The 22,651-nt window shown below is 36.0% G+C and overlaps 1 protein-coding gene across 3 annotated transcripts in view, besides 1 other annotated feature; it reads right to left on the bottom strand.

Annotated features, from left to right (window-relative positions):
* The window catches only part of DGKH (diacylglycerol kinase eta), a 216,515-nt gene that overhangs the window by 161,116 nt on the left and 32,748 nt on the right, over positions 1-22,651 (bottom strand). The window lies entirely within an intron of this gene.
* Positions 402-696: a silencer, noted in NCBI's record as "tiled region #14917; HepG2 Repressive non-DNase unmatched - State 24:Quies". NCBI's record gives its function as "represses a minimal TATA promoter and a strong SV40 promoter by Sharpr-MPRA in HepG2 cells {active_cell/tissue: HepG2}" and the evidence as "EXISTENCE:reporter gene assay evidence [ECO:0000049][PMID:27701403]".

Here is a 22,651-nt window from a genome sequence, read left to right as displayed (position 1 = left end):
ACATTTGGCTGGGTGCAGTGGCTCATGCCTATAATCCCAGCACTTGGAGAGGCTGAGGCAGGGGGATCACTTGAGTTCAGGTGTTCAAGACCAGCCTGGCCAACATGGTGAAATCCCATCTCTACAAAAAATAAAAAAATTAGCCAGGCATGGTGGCAGGTGCCTGTAATCCCAGTTACTCAGGAGGCTGAGGCAGGAGAATCACTTGAACCTGGGAGGCAGAGGCTGCAGTGAGCCAAGATCGCACCACTGCACTCCAGCCTGGGCAACAGAGGGAGACTCTGTCTCAAAAAAAAAAAAAAAAAAAAAAAAGGAGTCAACATTTATTGAGCGGCTGCTATATCTAGGAAAGTATTACAGTAGTATCTCCCACAGTCAAAATGGAAAAAATTATAAAGCAGGAAAGCGTCTCAGGAGGACCCACCGCTCCTTCCATGGCCCCTTCATATCCTGCTGCCCAATTTTTCCTTTCCTTCCCAGGTTAACACAAGTTTTTTGCCTTATTTCAAGGGTTTCTATAGTTAGGGAACTAGCTGACACATATCCCACTACCCATTTGTTTTCTGCTACCTTTCTACAGGTTTTCTTTTCAAACACAATTGCTAAAAATCTGGCAGGAAATAAGTGAGTGGTAGCAATGATACATATGTATCCTGTGAGATACAGATGCAGGAATCTGTCAATTTGCACTCTTTTTGAGACTGTGGAAAACAACATATGGGCTTTGCATAAACAAAAATTAATTTGGAATCTCTCTTTTGGCAGAAATTTGACTGTATAAAAATTTAAATCTCCTTTTGAAATAAAACTTGTAAATGGTACAATGTTGTACGTTTGGCTCTTAACTCCATCCAACTGAGGACGCTCAATTCACTACACAGACCTAGGCCTGTGAGAAATAGGAAGATAAAATGTAAACTCTTTGTGAAACATCAACATTCAAACAAAGCATTACCACAGAGATACCAAGACAGACCTCTTTGAACTTCGTGATGCTTCTCAAAGACTCACACTAAATTCTAATATTTCCCCCAAGCCCAACTCTAATTTATGATTGAAAAAAATGTATATTTAAAGATGAAAACTGTACTAACAAGTTTGAGTCAAAGTTTGCCTTTTAAAGCTGCTTAAAATTTAAAAGTATCATCAGAGTTGATCAATTGTTAGATCAGAAATGCTATTTTGACATCTTTTTTTATTATTATACTTTAAGTTTTAGGGTACAGGTGCACAACGTGCAGGTTTGTTACACATGTATACATGTGCCATGTCGGTGTGCTGCACCCATTAACTCATCATTTAACATTAGGAATATCTCCTAATGCTATCCCTCCCCCCTCCCCCCAACCCACAACAGGCCCCAGTGTGTGATATTCCCCTTCCTGTGTCCATGTGTTCTCATTGTTCAATTTGACATCATTGTTATACAATTTCTGCAAGTTTTTTTTATTGAGGGAAAATACACATGACAAAATTTACCATCTTAACCATTTTTAAGTGTACAGTTCAGTGCTGTTAAGTACATTCACAGTATTGTGCAACCAATCTCCAGAATTCTTCACCTTGCAAAACCAAAACTCTACACCCATGGAACAACTCCCCACTCCCCCGCTTCTCAGCCCCTGGCAACTACCATCCTACTTTCTGTCTTTGTAAGTTCGACTACTCGAGGTACCTCATATAAGTGGAATCATACAGAAATATCCCTTTATGACTGGCTTATTTCACTTAGCATAATGCCTTCAAGGTTCATCCATGCTGTAGAACATGTCAGAATTCCCTTCCTGTTTAAGGCTGAAAAATACTCCACTGTATGTATACACCACATTTTCTTTACCCATTCGTCTGTTTATTGGCACTTGCGTTGTTTATACCTTTTGGCTATTAGGAATAATACTGCTATGAACATAGATGTATAAATATCACTTTAAGACCCTGCTTTCAATTCTTTTGAGTATATTACCAGAAGTGAAATCGCTGGATCATGAAATAATTCTATTTTAATTTTTTTAAAGAGCCATCATACTGTTTTCCACCATGGCTACACAATTATACGTCAGTGCAGAAGGGTCCCACTTTCTCTACATTCTTGCCAACATTGCTATTTTCTTTATCTTTTTTTTTAAGAGCAGCCATCCTAGTGGGTGTAAGGTGGTATCTCATCGTAGTTTTGATTGCATTTCCCAAATGATTACTGATGTTGAGCATCTTTTTTTTTTTTTTTGGAGACAGAGTTTTGCTCTGACGCCCAGGCTGGAGTGCAGTAGCATGATCTCAGTTCACTGCAACCTCCATCTTCCGGGCTCAGGTAATCCTCCCACCTCAGCCTCCCAAGCAGCTGGGACTACAAGTGTGTGCCACCATGCCTGGCTAATTTTTGCATTTTTAGTAGAGATAGGGCTTCACCATGTTGCCCTGGCTGGTCTGGAACTCCTGGACTCAAGCAATCTGCCCACCTCGGCCTCCCAAAAGTGCTGGGATTTTAGGTGTGAGCCACTGTGCCCGGCCAATGCTGAGCATCTTTTCGTGTGCTTGCTGATGATTTGTATACCTTCTTCTTAAATTTTTTTGTACTTTTGCATTGTTGTATCATAATTGTAACATTTTGGGTGTACACATGCTGTTTTTGATACTTGTATACAATGTGTAATGATAAAATCAGGTTAATTGGGACATCCATCACCTTAAACATTTACCTTTTCTTTGTGCTTGTAACATTACGATTATTTTTTTCTAAAGTTCTTGAAATAAACAATAAATTATTAACTATAATTTCCATTTTATACTATCAGACACTACAACTTACTCCTTCTATCTAACTATATTTTTTGTACCATTAACCAGACTCTTTCATCCTCTCCCTCCCCGTTTCCCTTCCCAGCCTCTAGTAACCACCATTCCACTCTCTATCTCAATAAGATTCACCTTTTTTAAAGCTCTCACATGAGTGAAAACATGCAATACTTGTCTTTCTGTCCTTGGTTTATTCCCCTTCATATAATGACCTCCAGTTCCATCCATGTCACAGAAAATGACAGAATTTCATTCTTTTCATGGCTGCATGGCTGAATAATATTTTATTTTGTATATATACCACATTTTTTATCCACCCATCCATTGATGAATACTTCGGTTGATTCCATATCTTGACTATTGTGAACAGTGGGCAATAAACATGGGAGTACAGATATTTCTTCAGTATACTGATACGTTTCTTTTGGATATATAGCCAGCAGTGGGATTGCTGGATCATACAGTAGATCTATTTTTAGTTTGTAGAGGAACCTTCTACTACTTTCCATAATGGCTGCACTACTTTACTACTTTCTATTCCTACCAATATTGTGTAAGGGTTCCCCTTACATCCTTGCCAAAACTTGTTATCTTTTGTCTTTTGATAATAGCCATTCTGACTGAAGTGAAATGAACACTCATACAGTGCTGGTAAGACTATAAAGTAGTACAGCCAATTACAGAAAACAGCGTGGAGGTTCCTCAAAAAACTAAAAAAGAACTACCATATGATCCAACAATCCCAGCATTTATTATTTTTTGCCTTTTTGATAATAGCCATTCTAACAGGTGTAAAATGATAGCTCATTGTGGTTTTGATTTGCATTTCCCTGATGATTAGTGATGTTGAGCATTTTTCCATATACCTGTTGGCCATTTGTATGTCTTCTTTTAAGAAATGTCTATTCAAGTATTTTGCCCATTTTTAAATCGGATTTTTTGTTGTTGTTATTGAGTTGTTTGAGTTCCTTCCATATTCTGGTTATTAATCCCTTGTCAGATGAACAGTTTGCAAATATTTCCTCCCATTCTGTAGGTTGTCTCTTCACTTCATTGTTTCCTTTGCTATGCAGAGCTTTGTAGCTCGATGTAATACCATTTATCTATTTATGCTTTTGTTGCTTGTGCCTTACACAAAATGATTTGTATATCTTTGAAGAAATGTCTATTCAAGTCCTTTGCCCATTTTTTTAATTGGGTTGTTTGTATTTTTGTTGAATTGTAGGAGTTCTTTTCATTTTCTGGATATTAACTGCTTATCAGATATATGATTTGCAAATATCTTCACCCATTCTTAGGATACCTTTTCAACCTTGATAGTGTCTTTTGACACACAGAAGTTTTTAATTTTAATGTGGTTCAATTTATTTATTTTTTCTTTTATTATCTATGTTTTGGTGTCATATCCAAGAAGTCATTGCTAAATCTAATGAAACTCTTCATGAAGCTTTTCTTCTATGTTTTCTTCTACGAGCATATCTATGTTCTTCTAGTTTTAGCTCTTATGTTTAGGTCTTTGATCACTTTTGAGATAATTTTTGCATATAATGTAATGTAAATGTCTTAGTCTATTTGTGCTGCTATAACAAAATACCACAAAATTAGTAATTTATAAACAACAGAAATGTATTTCTCACAGTTCTGAACGCTGGGAAGTCCATGATCAAGTCACCTGCAGGTTCAGTGTTGGTGAGGGCTGCTCTCTCTGCTTCCAAGGTGGCTCCTTGTTGCTGCATCCTCCAGAGAGAAGGAACGCTGTCTCCTCACCGGCAGAAGAGCAGAAGAGAAGCACACCCATTCCCTCAAACCCTATCATAAGCACCCTAATGCCATCCATGGGGGCTCTGTCCCCATGGCTCAATCACCTCTTTAAAGCCCTACCTCTTAATACCTTCACACTGGCAATTTAGTTTCAATGTGAATTTTGGAGGAGACGAAAACATTCAGATCATAGCAGTAAGGGTCTAACTTCATGCTTTTGCAATACAGATATCTAGTTCTCCCAAAACAATGTGTTAAAAAATTGTCCTTTCCCTAGTGAAAGATCTTAGCATCGTCATGGAAAATCATTAGACCATATGTGTATGGGTTGATTTCTAGGCTCTCTATTCTATTCCACTCGTCTATATGTCTGTCTTTATGCCAGTACCACTCTTTGCATTATTGTAGTTTATAAGTTTTGAAATCAGGCAGTGTGAGACATCCAACTTTGTTCTTTTCCAAGATTTGTTTTGTCTATTTGGGGTCCCTTGAGATTCTACATGAAATTTAGAACGTATTTTTCTATTTATGAAAAAAATGCCACTGGAACTTTCATAGGGATTACACTGAATCTGTAGGTCACTTTGGAGAGTACTGAAATTTTAACAATATTAATTCCTCCCAATATATAAACCCAAGATATCTATTTTATGCATGTTTTATAATATTTAGTTCACAATTTTGCATACAGTTTTTTAAAATTTATTCATAGATATTTCATTTTGATACTATTTTAAGTGCAGTTTTCCCTCCTCAGATGCCAGGACTGTTGCTCCACAAAATCAGAGTGTCCCACTCCAGTAGCCACATCTTCACCTTTTTTCCAGTCAGCTCCTCTGGGATTTCACCCAACTTTTCCAAATATATTATAATTAGGGTTGTGATTTATTCTTTGATCCATGGGTTATTTGGAAGTGCATTATTTGGCTTCCAAATATGTGAGAATTTTCCAAATACCTTTCTGGGGTTTGTTTTTTTTCTAATTTAATTTTTTGTAATCTGAGAATATATTTGACATGATTTCAACCATTTAAAATGTAGTAGGCAGAGTAATGTCCCTCCACAAAGAGACCATGTCCTAATCCCCAGAACCTGGGCATACTTTACTTTATGTGGCAAAGGGGGATTAAGTTTCCAGATGAAGTTAAGTTTGCTCATCAGCTGATCTTGAGAGATGGAGGTTATTCTGGATTACCCAAGGGGGCCCAATGAAATCACAAGGATCCTTATAAGTAGAAGAAGGCAGCAGAAGGCAGAGAAGCAGAGATGGTGGTGTGAGGAAAAATTAGATATTGCTGCTGTTGGAGATAGAGGAATGGAACTGCAAGCCAAGAATGTTAGTGGTCTCTAGCACTTGGAGAAGGCAAAGAAATAGATTCTCTTCCCAGAGCCTCCAGAAAGAACACAGCTTTGCTAATACCTTGATTTTAGCTGAGACCCATTCTGGACTTCAGACCTCCAGAACTATAAGATAATAAATTTGTATTGTATTAAGCCAATAAGTTTGCAGTCATTTGTCACCATAGCCATAAAAAATGAAAACATTAAATTTATTAATACTTTATTATCTAGAATATGGCCTATCTTAGGAAATATATTTGAAAAGAATGTACAGTCTGCTGCTGTTGGATTGAATGCTCTGCAAATATTAATTAGGTCAAGTTAGTTAATGATGTTCCAGTCAATATCCTTACTGATTTTTGTCTACTTGTTCTATCAGTTATTGAAAAAGGGTGCTGAAATTTCCAAATATAATTGGGAATTTGTCCATTTCTCCTTTCAGATCCATCAATCTTTGCTTCATGCATTTCAAAGCTGTTATCGGCTGCATGCACATTTAGGATATTAGATCTTCTTGATGAATTTACCCCTTTGTCATATGTAATATCCCTCACTATCCCTAGTAATGGTTCTTGTTCTGAAGTCTATTTTGTCTGATATTAATATAACAACTCTAGTTTTTCCTTTTGATTTACATTTGCATGGTATATCTTTTCCCATCATTTTACTTTTAAAACATCTGTATCTTTGTATTTAAAGTGAGATTCTTGTAGAGCAAATAATTGGATTGTATTGATTTATCCAGCCCAACAAGGCATTCAAAAGGAAGTGTTTAGAAAACTTACAATTAATGTGATTATCAATATAATTAGGTTTAAATCTACAATTTTGCTGTTTAATATTGGTCTCATCTCTTCTTTCTTTTTTCTTGCCTTCTTTTGGATTAACTCAGTATTTTCTAGGATTCAATTTATCAACATTTTTGGCTTATTACTCATGCTCTTTTTTTTAGTGTTTCTATTTTTTAAAGTGGTTTCTCTAAGGTTTACTATATCCATCTTTAATTTATCACAATGTGCACTCAAATAATATTTTCTCTTCGGTTACAGTATGAGACTCTTACAATGGTAAACATCCATTTCCTCAAACTCCCCTCCTTTGTTCTACTGCTATTTCACAAGTTTATAAGCCCCAGAAAACATTATTAGTTTTACTTTAAAAAGTTGATTATCCTCTAATTTGGAAAATAATCAGAAAATGTCTTTTGTATTTACCCATATTCTAATTATTTCTAGTGCTCTTCATTCCTCTCTGAACTTGCAAATTTTCATCTGGTACTATTTTTATTTGGCCTAGATAGCTTCCTTTAAAATTTCTTCCAGTGAAGGTCTCCTGGTGATAAATTCTCACAGTTTTTGTTTGTCCAAAATTATTTATTTTGCCTTCACTTTTGAAAGATATTTTTCACTGAGCATATAATTCTAGGTTGATGGTTTTTTCTTTTAGCCATTTAAAACTGTCGCTCTATTGTCTTCTATCTGTCATAGTTTCTGTTGAGAAATCTGCTATTAATTTTTAATCTTTGTTCTACATAAAATCTGTCTTTGTTCCTCTGGCTGCTTTTAGGATTTTCTCCTTACTCCTGGTTTCCTGCAAGTTGATTCTGATGTGCTATCAGGTTGTTTTGTTCATGATTCTTCTGATTGAAGCTGATGGAGCTTCTTGGATTTTGTGAATTTATAATTTTCATCAAATTTAGGGAAATTGTGGCCATTACTTCCTCAAATGCTTTTTCTGTCTCTCTCTCTTCTCCTACTGGAACTCCAAATACGCTTATGTAAGAAGCATGATACTGTCCCACAGCTCATTGCAAAAAAAAAAAAAAAATGAGCAGTGCATCAACTTTTTATTCTGTTTTATATTGTGTATTTTTAAATTCTGTGTCTTCAAATTGACTTTTCTTTACTTCTGTAGTATCTGTTAATCCCATTCAGAGTATTTTCATTTCAGATATTGCATTTTCATCACTAGAAGTTGAATCTGAGTCCTTTATGAATCCTCTTGTGTTCATGTTTTTTTTACCTCCTTGAACAAACGAAGTATACTAATAGTAGTTGTTTGAATGAACTTGTTAACCAATTCTATCATCCCTTTCATTTCTAACCCCTTTTCTATTGGTTACATTTTCTCCTATTTCTGGGTTGAATTTTCCAGCTTTTGTATGTGTGATGATGCTCTAATGAATATTCAACATTATTAATGTTACACTGTTGGGATCTGGATTTTGTTGTATTCCTTTAAATATTGTCAGGCTTTGTAGTGGGATACACTTAAATTCATTTCAGGCTTACTTTTTAAGTTCTGTTATGGCATGTCCAGAGCAGCCTTTACTCTAAGGCTAACCTGTCCCATTACTGAGGCAAGGCCCTTCTGAGGCTTCTACAGGATCTCTGTGTATTATGAGGCCTTTCCACTCTGTCCAGTGGGAATATGAACTACTCCTAGTTCTGTATGAGCTTCAAGGATTGTTGTGCCTACTCTGTTCTGAGGTGTGTGTGTGTGTGTGTGTGTGTGTGTGTGTGTGTGTGTTTTCCTTCTGGCATTTCTTTCCTCGAACAATTTTCTCCCATTAACGCACAGAATAGTTCTTGGCCACAGACTCAGGCCGACACAGCAGATCTCTAGAGCTTTCTTTCTGTGTGGTTCCCAACTCTCTCATATTTTCCCCCACAAATTCTAGCCTCCTCAAACTCTGAACTCTGCTGCTTCAACTCAACAAGACCATAGGGCATTCTTTGGGTTTCCCCTCCAGCACTGTGGTCTGAAAACTCTCTAGGCAGCAAGTTGGGACAATCAGAGGGCTCACACCCAGGTTTGTTTCTTACATTGCTTTTCCCTCTTTCTCTAAGTGATCACTGTCATGTCCTGCCTGTGGTCTGAAAACAGACCATTGTTTAGAATAGTTCTTTAAGGCAGAAAGTCCCTGTTAGTCTATCTTGCCAAAGACAAATTATTTTGTTATTAATTAAAACTGTTTCCTTTCTCTAAAAATCCATTTGTATAAAATCAATTTTAAAAGAACATATTATAACTGATTTTTGTTGTTTGCTTGAGAAAAATTATAGTTGGAAGATATATGTTAGAGTAATTTTTTCCTCAGTATACAAAACCATAAAAATATAAAATTTTCAGGTTGACCATGTAACAATAAAGTTATCATAGCTTTCAGGCTTGTCCTTATACCAATATTGTAGAGACAGCAAAGTAAGAGAAATGGCAAGGAAATTTGCTCACTTCTTCATAATAAACACTTACTGAATCTGATTATATCTAAAGCAACACTTTAGGCAACAAGGTTGACACAAAGATGAGTGAAAGATCCCTGTTTTTATTGCTCTTATAAGAAATTTAAGGTTTGCTGGGCATGGGGGCTCACACCTGTAATCCCAACACTTTGGGAAACAAAGGTGGGCGGATTACTTGAGGTCAGGAGTTCAAGCCCAGCCTGGACAACATGATGAAACCCCATCTTTACTAAAAATACAAAAATTAGGTGGGTGTAGTGGTGCATGCCTGTAATCCCATCTACTCAAGGGCTGAGGCACGAGAATCGCTTGAACCCAGAGGCAGAGGCTGCAGTGAGCCATGACTGTACTACGCACTCCAGCCTAGGCAACAGAGTAAGACTCTGTCTCAAAAAAAAAAACTTAGTTTAATAGGTTAGATAAAAATACAGACATCATGCATGAGTATCAGTATGTAGTAAATATCTTTGGAAAAATATTTCTTAAGTGTTACAGAAATTCATAGAGGAAAGAGATCACTCAGACTATGGACTTCAAACATACCTGGATTTTCCAAGAGTTGAATAATTTTTTTAAAAACAATTATTTCAACTTAAATATTCTGGCTATATTAGCTTCAAGTAAAAAGCACAAGATTATGTCTTAGAATCAAACTCTGGCTCGTTTTTTTGTTCTCTTTGAAAATGTTATTTCTACTTTACATTTTTCCCCAAAAACAATCCTTTCCATCCACATAATAGGCTTACTCTGCTGTAAACCTACCATCTTAAATCATTTCTTTTAACATTTCACAGTGTAGGTCTGCCATATCATAGCAGCCTTATTGCTCATATTTTGAGAATGGTCAGAACCTTCAAATTACCTATTGCCACAAACTCCAAATCACAATCACTGGGCTTTTCCCTTTACAGCAATGTATCTCAGAGTGTATTCCATGGAACCATGGCATTTCTGGGCAGCTTCTAGAGAGGTTCACAGGCAGGACGGCCATTTTGGGGAGAGAGAAGCATAGGGGGAAGGGAGAAAGGGAATCCATAAACTATTTTGCTCACCTACATTTCACCAGCATGAAATGTAACATTAATTATGATTTACATATTCAGTTATATTCTAAGAGGTTTCGCATGCCCTATAAAGACTGCATTGGTCAGTATCCCCCAGCTATTAATTCAGGTAATGATCTAGCATGTCTCAGCTGTTTTTATATCATCTGCATTAACATAACCTAAATTTAAATTTTTTTCTTATATTATATCATATGCCAATTCATAAAATGGGTAACTCAAAATGGACAACTGCTTCATGTTTAAAAGTAGGAATAAAAATAGCAATGTAAAGTATCATGAGCAAAAACAGAAATCCAGAATGCATACATATCTATTTATAGGATTAATTTTTTTTTTTTTACTAAGAACAATCATTATGAAACTTTTCACTAGGTTAATAAAGCAAGATTAAATTAACCACTAACATCTGTTTTCCAAATTGCTATACATCTTAGTTATGGTTAGAACCTAGGTGGCATTAAAGTCCTTGTCATTTTGCCAGACACTACCAACCCAAATTATTAAGGGTATATAAACTAGTAGCACGTTTATACTACTAGCCTGGAAAAAAAAAAGTCTAATCCTTAGCTGTAGCAACCTATAAAGAATATTGTTAACTGTAAAATTATATTCTAAAAATATAAAGGTTAAATAAAACATAGCCATCAAAGTTATTTTAACATTTGTTTAAAAATACGCAATACATTGTAATACATATAACTAAGGTTAACTCTATATAAACATAGATCTAGTTACCTAAAATTTTTAATTATAAAACTCTTTAAGATGAATGAGGCTATTGTGAATAACTTCCTTTAAAAAAATCTGGTAGTTTTAAATATTTACACCTAAACTAAAAACACACAAGCACTCTTATATACAACACTGAATAGCAGATGGGATCATTTCCTAAGATGTAGTATCAAAGAAAAAGAAAACAGATTGTACTATTTCTATTTGGACAGCAATAAAATGAACAGCAAAGAACTTCCAAGAGATACCTGTGAATAAACATGGCAAAAAAAAATTTTTAAGTGATTTTTAAAAATAATTTTATGGAGCAAGCATCTGTAAGCGTATACAAACTATGATGCAAGACATATATGTATAAATGTCTATTGTCTTTTATATTAAATATTGAATATATTTACATGAATATGGATGACCAGGAGTTATTTTATATCAATAATTATGTCTAGATTCTGATTAAAGGTTAGTGATCAATTTCTAGTTATGGCTTCACCATAATTTGCTCTCATATTTTGGTCGCTGTCTCTACCTGTAAAAGGTCACTTTTGGTCGCTGTCTCTACCTGCATTCCAGGTAGAGACGGGCAGGAATGCTGCCCATCCCCGTGTCGTTCATGCTTCTTGAAAGTGGGTTTAACACTAATTCCACTTTTATTTCTTACAAAGTACAATACTTGAGAAAATATCGTTGGTTTCCAGGAGTACTTTTTCTCTTCTCTCTCTTTTTATTTAGCCTGTTTCATTTTTTCAATATTTCTTTAAAAGCTTTTAAAGACAGAGGTTAAGTTGTCTGTCCTAGTAGCTTGGGCTCCCTAAAGGGAAAAGATTAGTGGGTGGGTTAGTGACCCAGACATGGGTCCTCAAGAAGCAACGAGTTGCTCAGGGAAGCCACAGAAGCCCAGTCCAACCCGAAGCCCAGTTCAGCCCGCATCCAAACTTCCGCTATACCCCAGGGCAGGGAAGGTACTTCCACGCCTACAGCGGCGGCGCTAGATAAAATGGCGCCAGGAACCCCGCCAGAACTTCCTGCATTACCAAATAGTAAAATAACCCAAACTTGCATTTGTATAACTATGGTTTTTAAAAGTTCTCCATTTGAGCCTCGCAGCTGAATAAAACAGAAAGAGGAGAGCATGTCACCATTTTACAAGCGGAAAAAAGAGTTTCAATGACCTTCCGACGTCATACCACTACTTACAGTATCACCACACCCTCGCATCACCACCCCTCTGGATTTCTCATCATTTAAGTTGCAAGTTCCTTGAAGCACGAAGCAAATCTCTCTCCCTCTTTTTTTGTGTTTTTGTTTTTGTTTTTTGCTTCACACACATTTTAAAATGCTGACCACTGGCAGCATATTTACTAACAGTGTCATCTTTAAACATCTTCATTTATATTCACTAATCTTTTAAAATCCTCATGACCTTAACAGTTTTTGTTTTGACATACTTTCAAGTCAGTTACTACTGTTACTCTAGCTGAAGTTGGATTTTCTAGCTTTTTTCCTAAAAACCAAAAACAGGAAGAGAGTCCCAGCAGTAAGAGCCTCTAGCATAAACCTTATTAGCTTTCCATTATCCCGAAGAACTAGAACTATTATTCACATTCTTCAATTCATTTCAAAAGAACTTCAACAGGCCCTGTGATGAGCCCCAGGGATACTTAAACAAAACAAGCAAGGTTTGGAGGCTTTAGTGGGGAAACAAATATAAATTGACAATGCAATTTGTACATGTAAAGGAAAGGGAAATACAGAGTATTACTGATGTCCACAGAAGGGGCATCTAACCTTCTACAAGAAATGTCAATATGGAGTGCCTTTCTCTTAGTAAATTTAGACAGCATTCTAGAACCTGGTGAAAATGGTGACTTGAAAATACTGACTACTTGGAGCAACCTAGCATTATTTTACAAACATTATTTCTACTGCAGGACAAGCAGTGAGATCCAATCATCCATGACCTCAAGCAAAATCACTGTACCATAAACTAAAGTTCAAAAGAAAATGGGTCTTTGTCTTGGAAATGTATTAACTCTGGGGAAGGAAAAATCCTGTAATAGAAATTGATGGCTGAATATAATTTGGGATAATAAGGCAAACAACATGAGAATAAACACTAAGTAAAGAATATGAAAATCCTAAGGACATAAAGAAGGTCATTAAAAATACAATTGTAAGGTCTAGAAAAATACTCTTTTAAAATAGCTTTACTTTTGCTATTATTGCTATCAATAAACATGTAAGATGTTTTCCCTTCTTTAATAACTCAACCCAAAAGCCATTAGGTGAGACTGAGCAAGGTAGACAAGTGTGGGGTGTCAAATGCCCAGAAGGGTAATGCAGGTCTCCTCATGAGCCAGTGCCAGTGTCAGAGTCCAAGCAGAGCAAGAAGGATACGTGTGCAGCCCAACAGGAGGTGTGAGAGACTACATGGAATGAGGATAGCAATGAGGATTGATCTGATAGGTTAAATATATTGAGGATAATGAGAGCCACATTTCTCACTGTCTAAGGAAAAAAATGTGAATGAACTTTGTGGGGTGGACTGGAATCAAAGGTTCCTATGTGAACTCATTGTTTTCAATATTAATTGATACAAAAATAAATAAGATGTAACTCTGTCCACTGAGAGGGCCTGGGAACAGTGACACCTCAATACCAATGAGCACACCTAAGGCTCAGATCTTGGTTTCTAAATACTATTCTTCACGGAAAGGAAGCAGGAATCCTTGGAGAAAGAGCTATTTCAAAGCTGGGGCAAAGAGAGAGCAAGATGAACTCTGGATATCTCATTATGCCAGAAAATTAAGTGCTTAAGAATGCTGGGGACATATCAGAAGAATTGAGAAAACAGCCTGAGGTGGCTCCTACTGTTATAATCTGAGACAATTCAGGCATCCAAAGAAATAATAATTCTAATGGCTTATATACATTGAATAAAACATGGAGCTGTTTAAGTCCAAACTGATATATACAAAGATAATTTTAAAAATAGGAGAAAAAGGCCAGGCGCAGTAGCTCACACCTGTAATCTCAGCACTTTGGGAAACCAAGGCAGGTGGATCACTTGAGGTCAGGAGTTCAGGACCAGCCTGGCCTACATGGTGAAACCCTGTCTCTGTTAAAAACACAAAAGTTAGCCAGGCGTGGTGGTGCACACCTGTAGTCCCAGTTACTTGGGAGGCTGAGGTAGGAGAATCGCTTGAACCCAGGAGGTAGAAGTTGCAGTGAGCCAACATCGTGCCGCTGCACTCCAGCCTGGGCAACAGAGCGAGAACACATCTCCAGGAAAAAAAAAATAGGAGAGAAAGATTTTTCTTAGTAGCATGGCAACCTAAATAGAGAAAAGAATGATGAAAATAAAGAACGATAAAATTGGAAAATTCATTTGGCAACCATGATAGTAATTATTTCAAAATAAAATGTATCTCTAATATTAAAAAATATGTATATAGCATGGTAAATTTTGAACAAAGAATAATCCAAGCTTTCATTTCCCAGTATTGTTTGGCTAAAGAAGCATAAAAATTAGGAGTCAGGCTCTGTGACTTACTGGCTGGGCTGGGCTAGGTCACTTACTTCTCTGATTCTTAGTTTCCTCGCCTGTAAAGTGATATGAACTTAGATTCATAGTTCTAAACTATTAAATTCAATAAAGCCTCTTTTTTCAAATAAAATCTTATAAAAAGCTGTAATATATAAAACTCGGATAAATAATGAGATAAAAATCTTCCGAGGAAAGCTTAAATAACAGTTAAAATTGGTATACTTATCAGAAAATGCCTGGAAACCTGGAGCTTACAGATTTCAAGAAAAAAAAAAGTAGGACAGGCAAATAAATAGTCACAAAGATTATTTGTTATACTCTAATATAATATTGTAGACTTGATTTTTCCTTCATTCACAATTGTCATATTTAGTAGCCTTTTCCGAATCTAAAACTCTTCGAGGAAGATTTCTGTAAAATGAATTCAGAAGTTAGTTTTCAAGAGATTATGACCAAGAAACGGAAACAGTTCATTCATTTCATTACACCAAACATAATGACCACTCAAAAAATTTCACTAGAATACGGCCTAGGTATGAGCTTATACTGGAAGTCATAATATACTCATTAAGGAATAACAAAGCTGGGAAGGAACTTCTCTCCCAGGGGGCAGAAATCCATCTCATAACCACAAGTGCTCATCCACCTATATGGTACGAAACTCAGCACCTCATAAAGTATAGAGTGAATCTGGAATCGTGCAGTTAAATGCCTTCTGTAACACTCTTACATTTGATCTAACAAACATTAACTATTCTGTAGAATGCACCACATCAAAAAGCATACAATAAAAAGGGCACCAACAGATGAGGAAGAAATCTAAATTACCATGTTAAGTAGCAATTTAATTTTGTATTTGGGTATAGTGAAAACAAAGACATTAAATTATTGAACTTCAAAGATAAAGAAAGAATTTTTCAGGTTATCCTGATCGAAAAAGCAACGTGAGAAAATCAGGCTGACCTCAGGTTTTTCCACAATAAAAAAGTCAAAAGAAAGTGGAAGGAAAATGGGACCAAAGAGTGTCATATTTAGCCAAGTTATTTGTGTATTAAAAACAACAAGCAGACATTTTCAAACCTCAAAGAACTCAAAAAACACCCATGCACCATTCTTGGAAGTACTACTTAACAATGAAATACAAGTAATTAAGAACAGAGTCAAAAATAAAGAACTCAGAAGTGCACAAACTGTGGTAAAATGACTTATGGTGAGTGCTGAATGCATTCAAATAAAAATAATTTTTAAAGTTAGCATTATGGTTACAAAACAAAAGGTCGACATGATCATACAAAGTTAGGAGGTGGTGGGAGGGGACAGGGATGAACTCCGTGAGTGAGAATAGTTCATCTTTCCTAGTAGGTCAAGGGAGCACACCTAAACTGGAATGGGGGTGAAGAGCAAAAAAACCCACTGACCAAAGCAACTGAAATCATTTTTTTACTCTGTTCTTAAACCTAGAGGTTTCTTTAAGAATATCCCTCTTTTAGTGAAATGAGACAACGGAGGCTTGGAGGGGCGAGAGGGTAGGAGGGGAATGGATGATGAGAAATTGGTTAGTGGGTACACTGTATATTATCTGGGTGATGTATACCCTAAAAGCCCTGAGTTGATCACTATGCAATCTGTGCATGTAATGAAATTGCACATATACCCCATAACTTTGTACATATACCCATAACTTGGTATATATTTTTTAAAAATATACAAATAACTTTGTGCATATACTCCATAACTTTGTACATATATTTTTAAAGAATATGCCTCTTGGGCCAGGCATGGTGGCTCACGCCTGTAATCCCAGCACTTTGGGAGACCGAGGCAGGTGGATCACCTGAGGTCAGTAGTTCAAGACCAGCCTGGGCAACATGGCAAAACCCCGTCTCTACTAAAAAATATATAAAAAATTAGCTGGGTGTGATGGTGGGTGCCTGTAAATCCCAGCTACTCGGGAGGCTGAGGCAGGAGAATCGCTTGAACCCAGAAGGCGGAGGTTGCAGTGAGCCAAGATCATGCCACTGCACTCTGGGCAACAGAGACAGACTCCATCTCAAAAAAAAAAAAAAAAAAAAAAAAGGAGAATATACCTCTTTAAGAGAGGAAAGTAATGTATTTGAAATTCAGTCATTCTGTCAGTATGTTAAAGTAAAATGAATTACTTTTAAAATATCTATTGTATGAACCTAATTCTTAAGGTATTTTTGTCTATCTGTCTATATGCATAGAAAGTATGTCTGGAATGAAGTACCCCTAATGTTAATTAGAGTTATTTCTGGCAAGTGGAATTTCAAGGTTTTTTTAGAGTTTTCAGTTTTATGCTTCAGTTTGGTATTATCTGTTGGCATCTGGCATCCATGTGCATCCCCCATGTCCCCCGCCCAACCCCTCAGAGCACATGGGCAGGAAAGCTAAAAACTCCATTTCCCAGACTCCCATAGGTTCTGGATGTGATTTGAGTTCTGCCAATCAGATGCACTAGATTTGAAAGGTGAAAGTGAAGTAAAGGCCATCTTTTAGCTGTTAACAGGTAGCCAGAAAACAAGGTCCAACAGAAGTATGTGTTTGCAGTGACCAGAATCCATATTCCGGCATCTAGTCACCAGCCCTGTAGGTATGAGACAGCTATGGCAGTGGCAGCAGTGCTACCAGTAATAGGAGCGGCCTCCTGACCTCTAGATGGCAACTTAACACTTACAGTCCAGTGGCAGCCTCTGATTTTCACACATCCCGACCTCTCAGGAATTTTTTAAGAAGGCAATTCCCTGAATTAAATCCCTTTCTGCTTAAAACGCCTAAAATATTTTGCTTCCAACATTGAAAGCTCACTGATGCAGTACTTACTACACTTCTTTTGATTCTTTGATGTATCATATTTATATTTGCAAAAAGAACAGAGTAATTTTAGTTCCAGAAAATAAAAACAAGAATAGGAGCAACTATATAACAAGATGTTCATGCTATTTAATTCTGGATGGTGGGACTATGAAAGACTATTATCTTCTTTTTACTTTTCCATTCATTTTCCCCAAAATATTTCTCTTTTAAAGAAATAAACAGATCATTTTAACTGTAGAGAAAGAACTAGGGGGAAGCAGGGCTGGAATCAGAAAAATCACTTAGATTGCTGATGAAATAACCCCAAACTACCCTTGCAGCTCACATTATAGCTGGATATTTTTATCCTAATTCTATTTGGTTGGAATGGAAGTAGACAGCCTTTAAATCTGGATGGTCAGCTGTCTCTTTTATTTTCTTTAGACAGAAGAGAATATGAATGCCTTCAACCAAAGACAAACCAGTCTAAGATGTTTCTAAATAGGCTGACCTAAATCACTCTAACTTTTCCATTAACCAGATAAAAGTTCAAGGCCAGGGCCAAGCATAGTAAAAGTTATTTTCCAATTTCTATTCTGCTTCAGATGGATAATATTCAGAAAACTGTATTTGTCATTCCTTGTATGACCATACTATTGATCCTTTTTTATATCTTGGATAAATGACTTTATTCTTTCTTGCTATTGAAACATTAAGGTAGTGTCACCAGTAATAATCAATAGTAAAGCTTCATGAAGCTTTCCAAGGTTCTGATACCAGACTTTCTCTAATGATGTTTTTCTGCTCTGAAGTTTGCAACTCATGTTTAAGTATTCTAAGTATTAATTTATTAAGTATTTTAAGTATTAATAAAGTGGAGATCTAAACCACATCAGGAAAACATACTGTTATTTTTACAAATGTTGTGAAATTCATAATATGGGCAGAATAATAAAGCAGCTTTTAGTCTTTTTATACACTATCCAGTCTCTCAGGGGCTATGTTACAGAATTTATTAATGGTCTAGTGGAAGAATTATTACAAATATGAGCAATTTGAAAGTACCAAGAAGAATATCTAAACCAAACTGCCAAAAGAAAGTAAGTAAACATTATGAAGAGAAAGTGATGCATAATTCTATATTCTATAAAAGGTGATGAAGAAAATCTTTGAGGGCTTTCATTTAACAGGATAAAAATCTCAGCTATGAACTACTGAAAGAAAAAAATTACACACAGACACATTTTACAGCATGTTTAAGAAATAAGAACCCATAACTTCCAATAACTTATATAACTTCTTTCTCATCCTACAGAAATTGGAGCTATAACAAGTCATTTTAATTAGCAGATTCAAGCAGCTTCCCTTGGATGAATTACACTGTCACATCTGTAGAAAGAAAAAAATCTAAACAGTACTTTTTTTAAACCAATATTCTGTTGCTTATATATTCTTGGAAAAGAGCCATAAATTATTTGTGGTAAAATAATTACATTCCCAACATTATATGTTAAAACATTATGGTCACAAGACATAGAAACAAAGTAAAAATAGACCCAACTGCAGACAAAAAGGGGTTAACCTAAACTTGAATAGCAGTAAGATTTCTGGAAAATGGGCAATAAAAAAGAGGGTTACGATGTTTTCTTACACAACACTCTCCTGATATAAATACCGTGTCTTTCTCCCTCCAGCTCTATGTTGGGGGTTGATTTTCTTTTCTCTCTTCAATTGGCCATTATCCAAAAGGCCAGTACAGAAAGTTTGCGTGACAAGAATATGACAGGTAATAGAAAATGAATCACTACTTTAGATCAGCTGCACATACAAATATAGCATACATGGAATTTCTCTCTGTGTAATAATTCTTTTATTCTTTACGCCAATAAAGAATTGAGCTGTCTCCTATCCAACAAACACAGCAGTCTGTTACACAGGCTGCAAACAACATGAGAAATGATTTTACTTGTTAAGTGATTTTTAAAAACTTAAGTTGGTGTCTTGGTGCCTACAGACTTCGGTTTTTTTAAAAAATCATAGACTAAATTTTGAGGAATTTATTTACAAAATACACTTGCACAATATTTACAAACACCATCTGGAATTTCCAGAAAAAGGCTATAAGAGGATTACACGCAACAATCCCAAATGGAAAGTAGAATCACATTGAAAGTGGGCTATATTAAAAAGGAAAAGGCTATTATTGTATGATACTTAAAGCTTATGGTATTATAACATTGTTTAAGACTGTTCTGGAGATTTGGTGCCTTTAAAAATAAAAACAGGAAAGTTCAATTAGAAGCATAGAAATCAAGGATGGAATTAGGTAACACTGGCAGAAACAAGGTGACAATGAGCTTGTAAAATGTAGATAGCAGTCTGAAAATAGGAAAGAGTAGGAGGAAGCTGCTGAAACAGGTAGCAGCCAGTGCTTGCCATGGTAACCATGATGACTGGATGAACATCCATCATGGCATGAGGCTTAAAAGAGTCCCCACCTGCACCTTTCTTAAGTTTCAGTTAGTGGCTCCAGCAACCTGTAGACATTAATAAATAACCTTTCAGTAGACTAAATAAGCTAGCAGCAGCAACAGGCATGAGTTGACAAATCTGTTAAGGGCTAAGTTTCAAAGGGGCTTCTGAAAGATTTAAGGAAAGAAAAAGTTATTTTATATACAGATTAACAATGGTGCAAAAATAATGATAGTGGAAGTTGCGCCAAGTCCTTAGTGCACTTTTACACTTAGATCTCATATTCATTGATGTCCTGGGTCCCAAGAGACACACTTTCATGATGAAATAAATATTTTCATTATAAAGTTCTTTCACTTTAGAACAGTGAGAAACAATGTGACAGCATGGTCACCACCAATCTTCTAGCCCCAAAAGCACTATTCTAAATGTATTAACAAATTGGAAGGATTATTACACCTTCAAACACCACTAGAAAATGTACACATGAATTTAACAAACTGCAGAAACACGACTAACACAGGAAAAAGTATGAAAAAACAAGAAGTAAATCAAAGCTCACTTGCAGTTATCTCGTTTAATCTGTATAACAATCCAACCATATGAATGTATCTCTATTTTAAAATTAGGAAACTGAGGTTTTAATATGTTACATAACTCCTTTATTATCACACAATTAGTAAGTATAAAAGGCATAAAGGCCTGTTTGCTGTACTAACTTAATCTCCATTACTACACATTGCCACTCTCATGCTCCATGTGAAACAAAGCCCCACGTAACCCTTATTTCATGAGTGGCACACACTTTCAAATTCCAATTCTATTTTTCCAAAAACTGTTTTGCTAAATTAAATTATGCATTTATTAGAAGCATGTCTCTAGCTTTTCTTCAACATTAGATAACCACACTAGATAGTGAACAGCTAAAATGTAGACGTGTTTCATTAGTCTTTGTAAGTCCAGCACATAAATAGGATCTATATTCAAGTTGTTAGGGGATGAGTGGATGCATGGATGGATGGATGGATGGATGGATGGATGGATGGATGGACGGATAGATACAATACAGACAGTGGCCTGTTTTGATACATCATTTGGGTTAGGAAATAAACAGGTAAGTTATAGCCTGTATGCCAAGGTAGGGCAAGGGTGTCTTTCTTGCCCTTCCATGTGGATTCTTTCAAATCATATCTTAATAGTTATTTTACTATGTCACTGATAAATAAAAAGTTTGCAAATATTTCCTTTATTTGAAGGAAAACAGGAAGATGAAATCTAGGTAATTTTCACAACCAATTTGGAATGAGATACCTGAACTTTTATCATCCTCAGGATGGAAATTTTGATAAATGATGTGAAGACCTGACAGAAGACATGAAGCTGTAAGAATAATAGGGTTTAAAAATGGCAGAAATCATATTCTGAAGAATAGCAATACCTAAGCCAAATTACTCTTTAAAACAAAACACATTACCCCAGTAATAATTCTCTATGTCCAAAACACAGCAATGCAAACAAATCAGCTTCCTTCAACTATTATTGAGTTTTCCACTATGTACCTTAAGACAATAATGACTCTAATTTTATATATATTTAATTCAAAAACACTTATTTGATCATAATAAGAGTATAAACAACTCAGTAAATTTTCTAGTTCATCTTTCCTGTTGTAGACAGTCTAACAAAAACATCAAGATAATTTCTATGAGAACTAAGTTCCATGAATTCAGTGGACGCTTCATAGCAGAGTACTAGGAGGAAATGCCAAAGCCATTGTGCAGTTCAGTCATGCTAGAATGCTATCCTTTTCCTGGTGCACGACTGTCATTAACCACATTTCAATACTCAGCTCAATGTGACCCTCTCTGGAAGCCTTCCATATCTGCTCAAGAGTGCCCGCTATGTTTGTTTCTGTGACAGCATGTATCCATTACCATATATATTTGCATGCATGGTTGTATACCATATACAGATGCTCCTCAACTTACAATGGCATTACATCCTCTTAAACCCATAGAAAGCTAAAAATATCATAAGCTGAAAATGCATTTAATACGCCTAACCTGCCAAATATCACGGCTTAGCTTTGCCTACTTTACATGTGCTCAGAACACTCACATTTTGTCTACAGTTGGACAAAATCATCTAACATGAAGCCTATTTTATAATACAGTGTTGGATATCTCATATAATTTATCGAGTACTGTACTGAAAGTGAAAAACAGAATAGTTGTATGGGCATTCAAAGTATGTTTTCCACTAAATATGTATTGCTTTTGCCACCGTAAATTTGAAAAATCTTAAGTCAAACCATCAAAAGTCAAAGACCATCTGTATATCTGTACATATAGCTGTCTCCCCCACTATAAGAAAGGACTGCATTCTACTAATTGTTGATCTCCTGCACAAAATACACACTATTTTAATAAATGGCAAAGAAAACAAAGAATTAATACACTGCATACCCTGCTCTAAAATCTTGAGGGTATATCGAGCAGGACACTGCTCTAAAATTTCATTCCTCTTACCAAATAGATAGCAAAGAGAAGGATGAACATTATCATAACAGCTAAAATATATAAAAGAATTTCTCAAAACTAGAACCATTCCCTTTTTCATTCAACAAATATCGTTTAAGCAATGACTATGTAACAGGCAGTGTTCTGGGCACAGGAGACAGGGCAGGGAAAAAAATAGACAAATATCCCTGCCCCCATGGAGTTTATATTCTAATATTAGAAGATGGATTTAGAGAAAATGGTACTATCTAGTGTATTCGGTGGTGATCAGTGCTAAGGGGAGAAGTTAAGAAGGAAAGGAAGTTGGGGCATGCCAGGTTGGGGGTGGGGACTGCAATGCTGGATAGCATCACCAGGGCAGGT

This window comes from Homo sapiens, chromosome 13 (genome assembly GCF_000001405.40).
Source record: "Homo sapiens chromosome 13, GRCh38.p14 Primary Assembly".
Taxonomy (NCBI): domain Eukaryota; kingdom Metazoa; phylum Chordata; class Mammalia; order Primates; family Hominidae; genus Homo; species Homo sapiens.
Note: the sequence above shows the minus strand (reverse complement) of the source record. Positions and strands in the feature narration are given on the sequence as shown.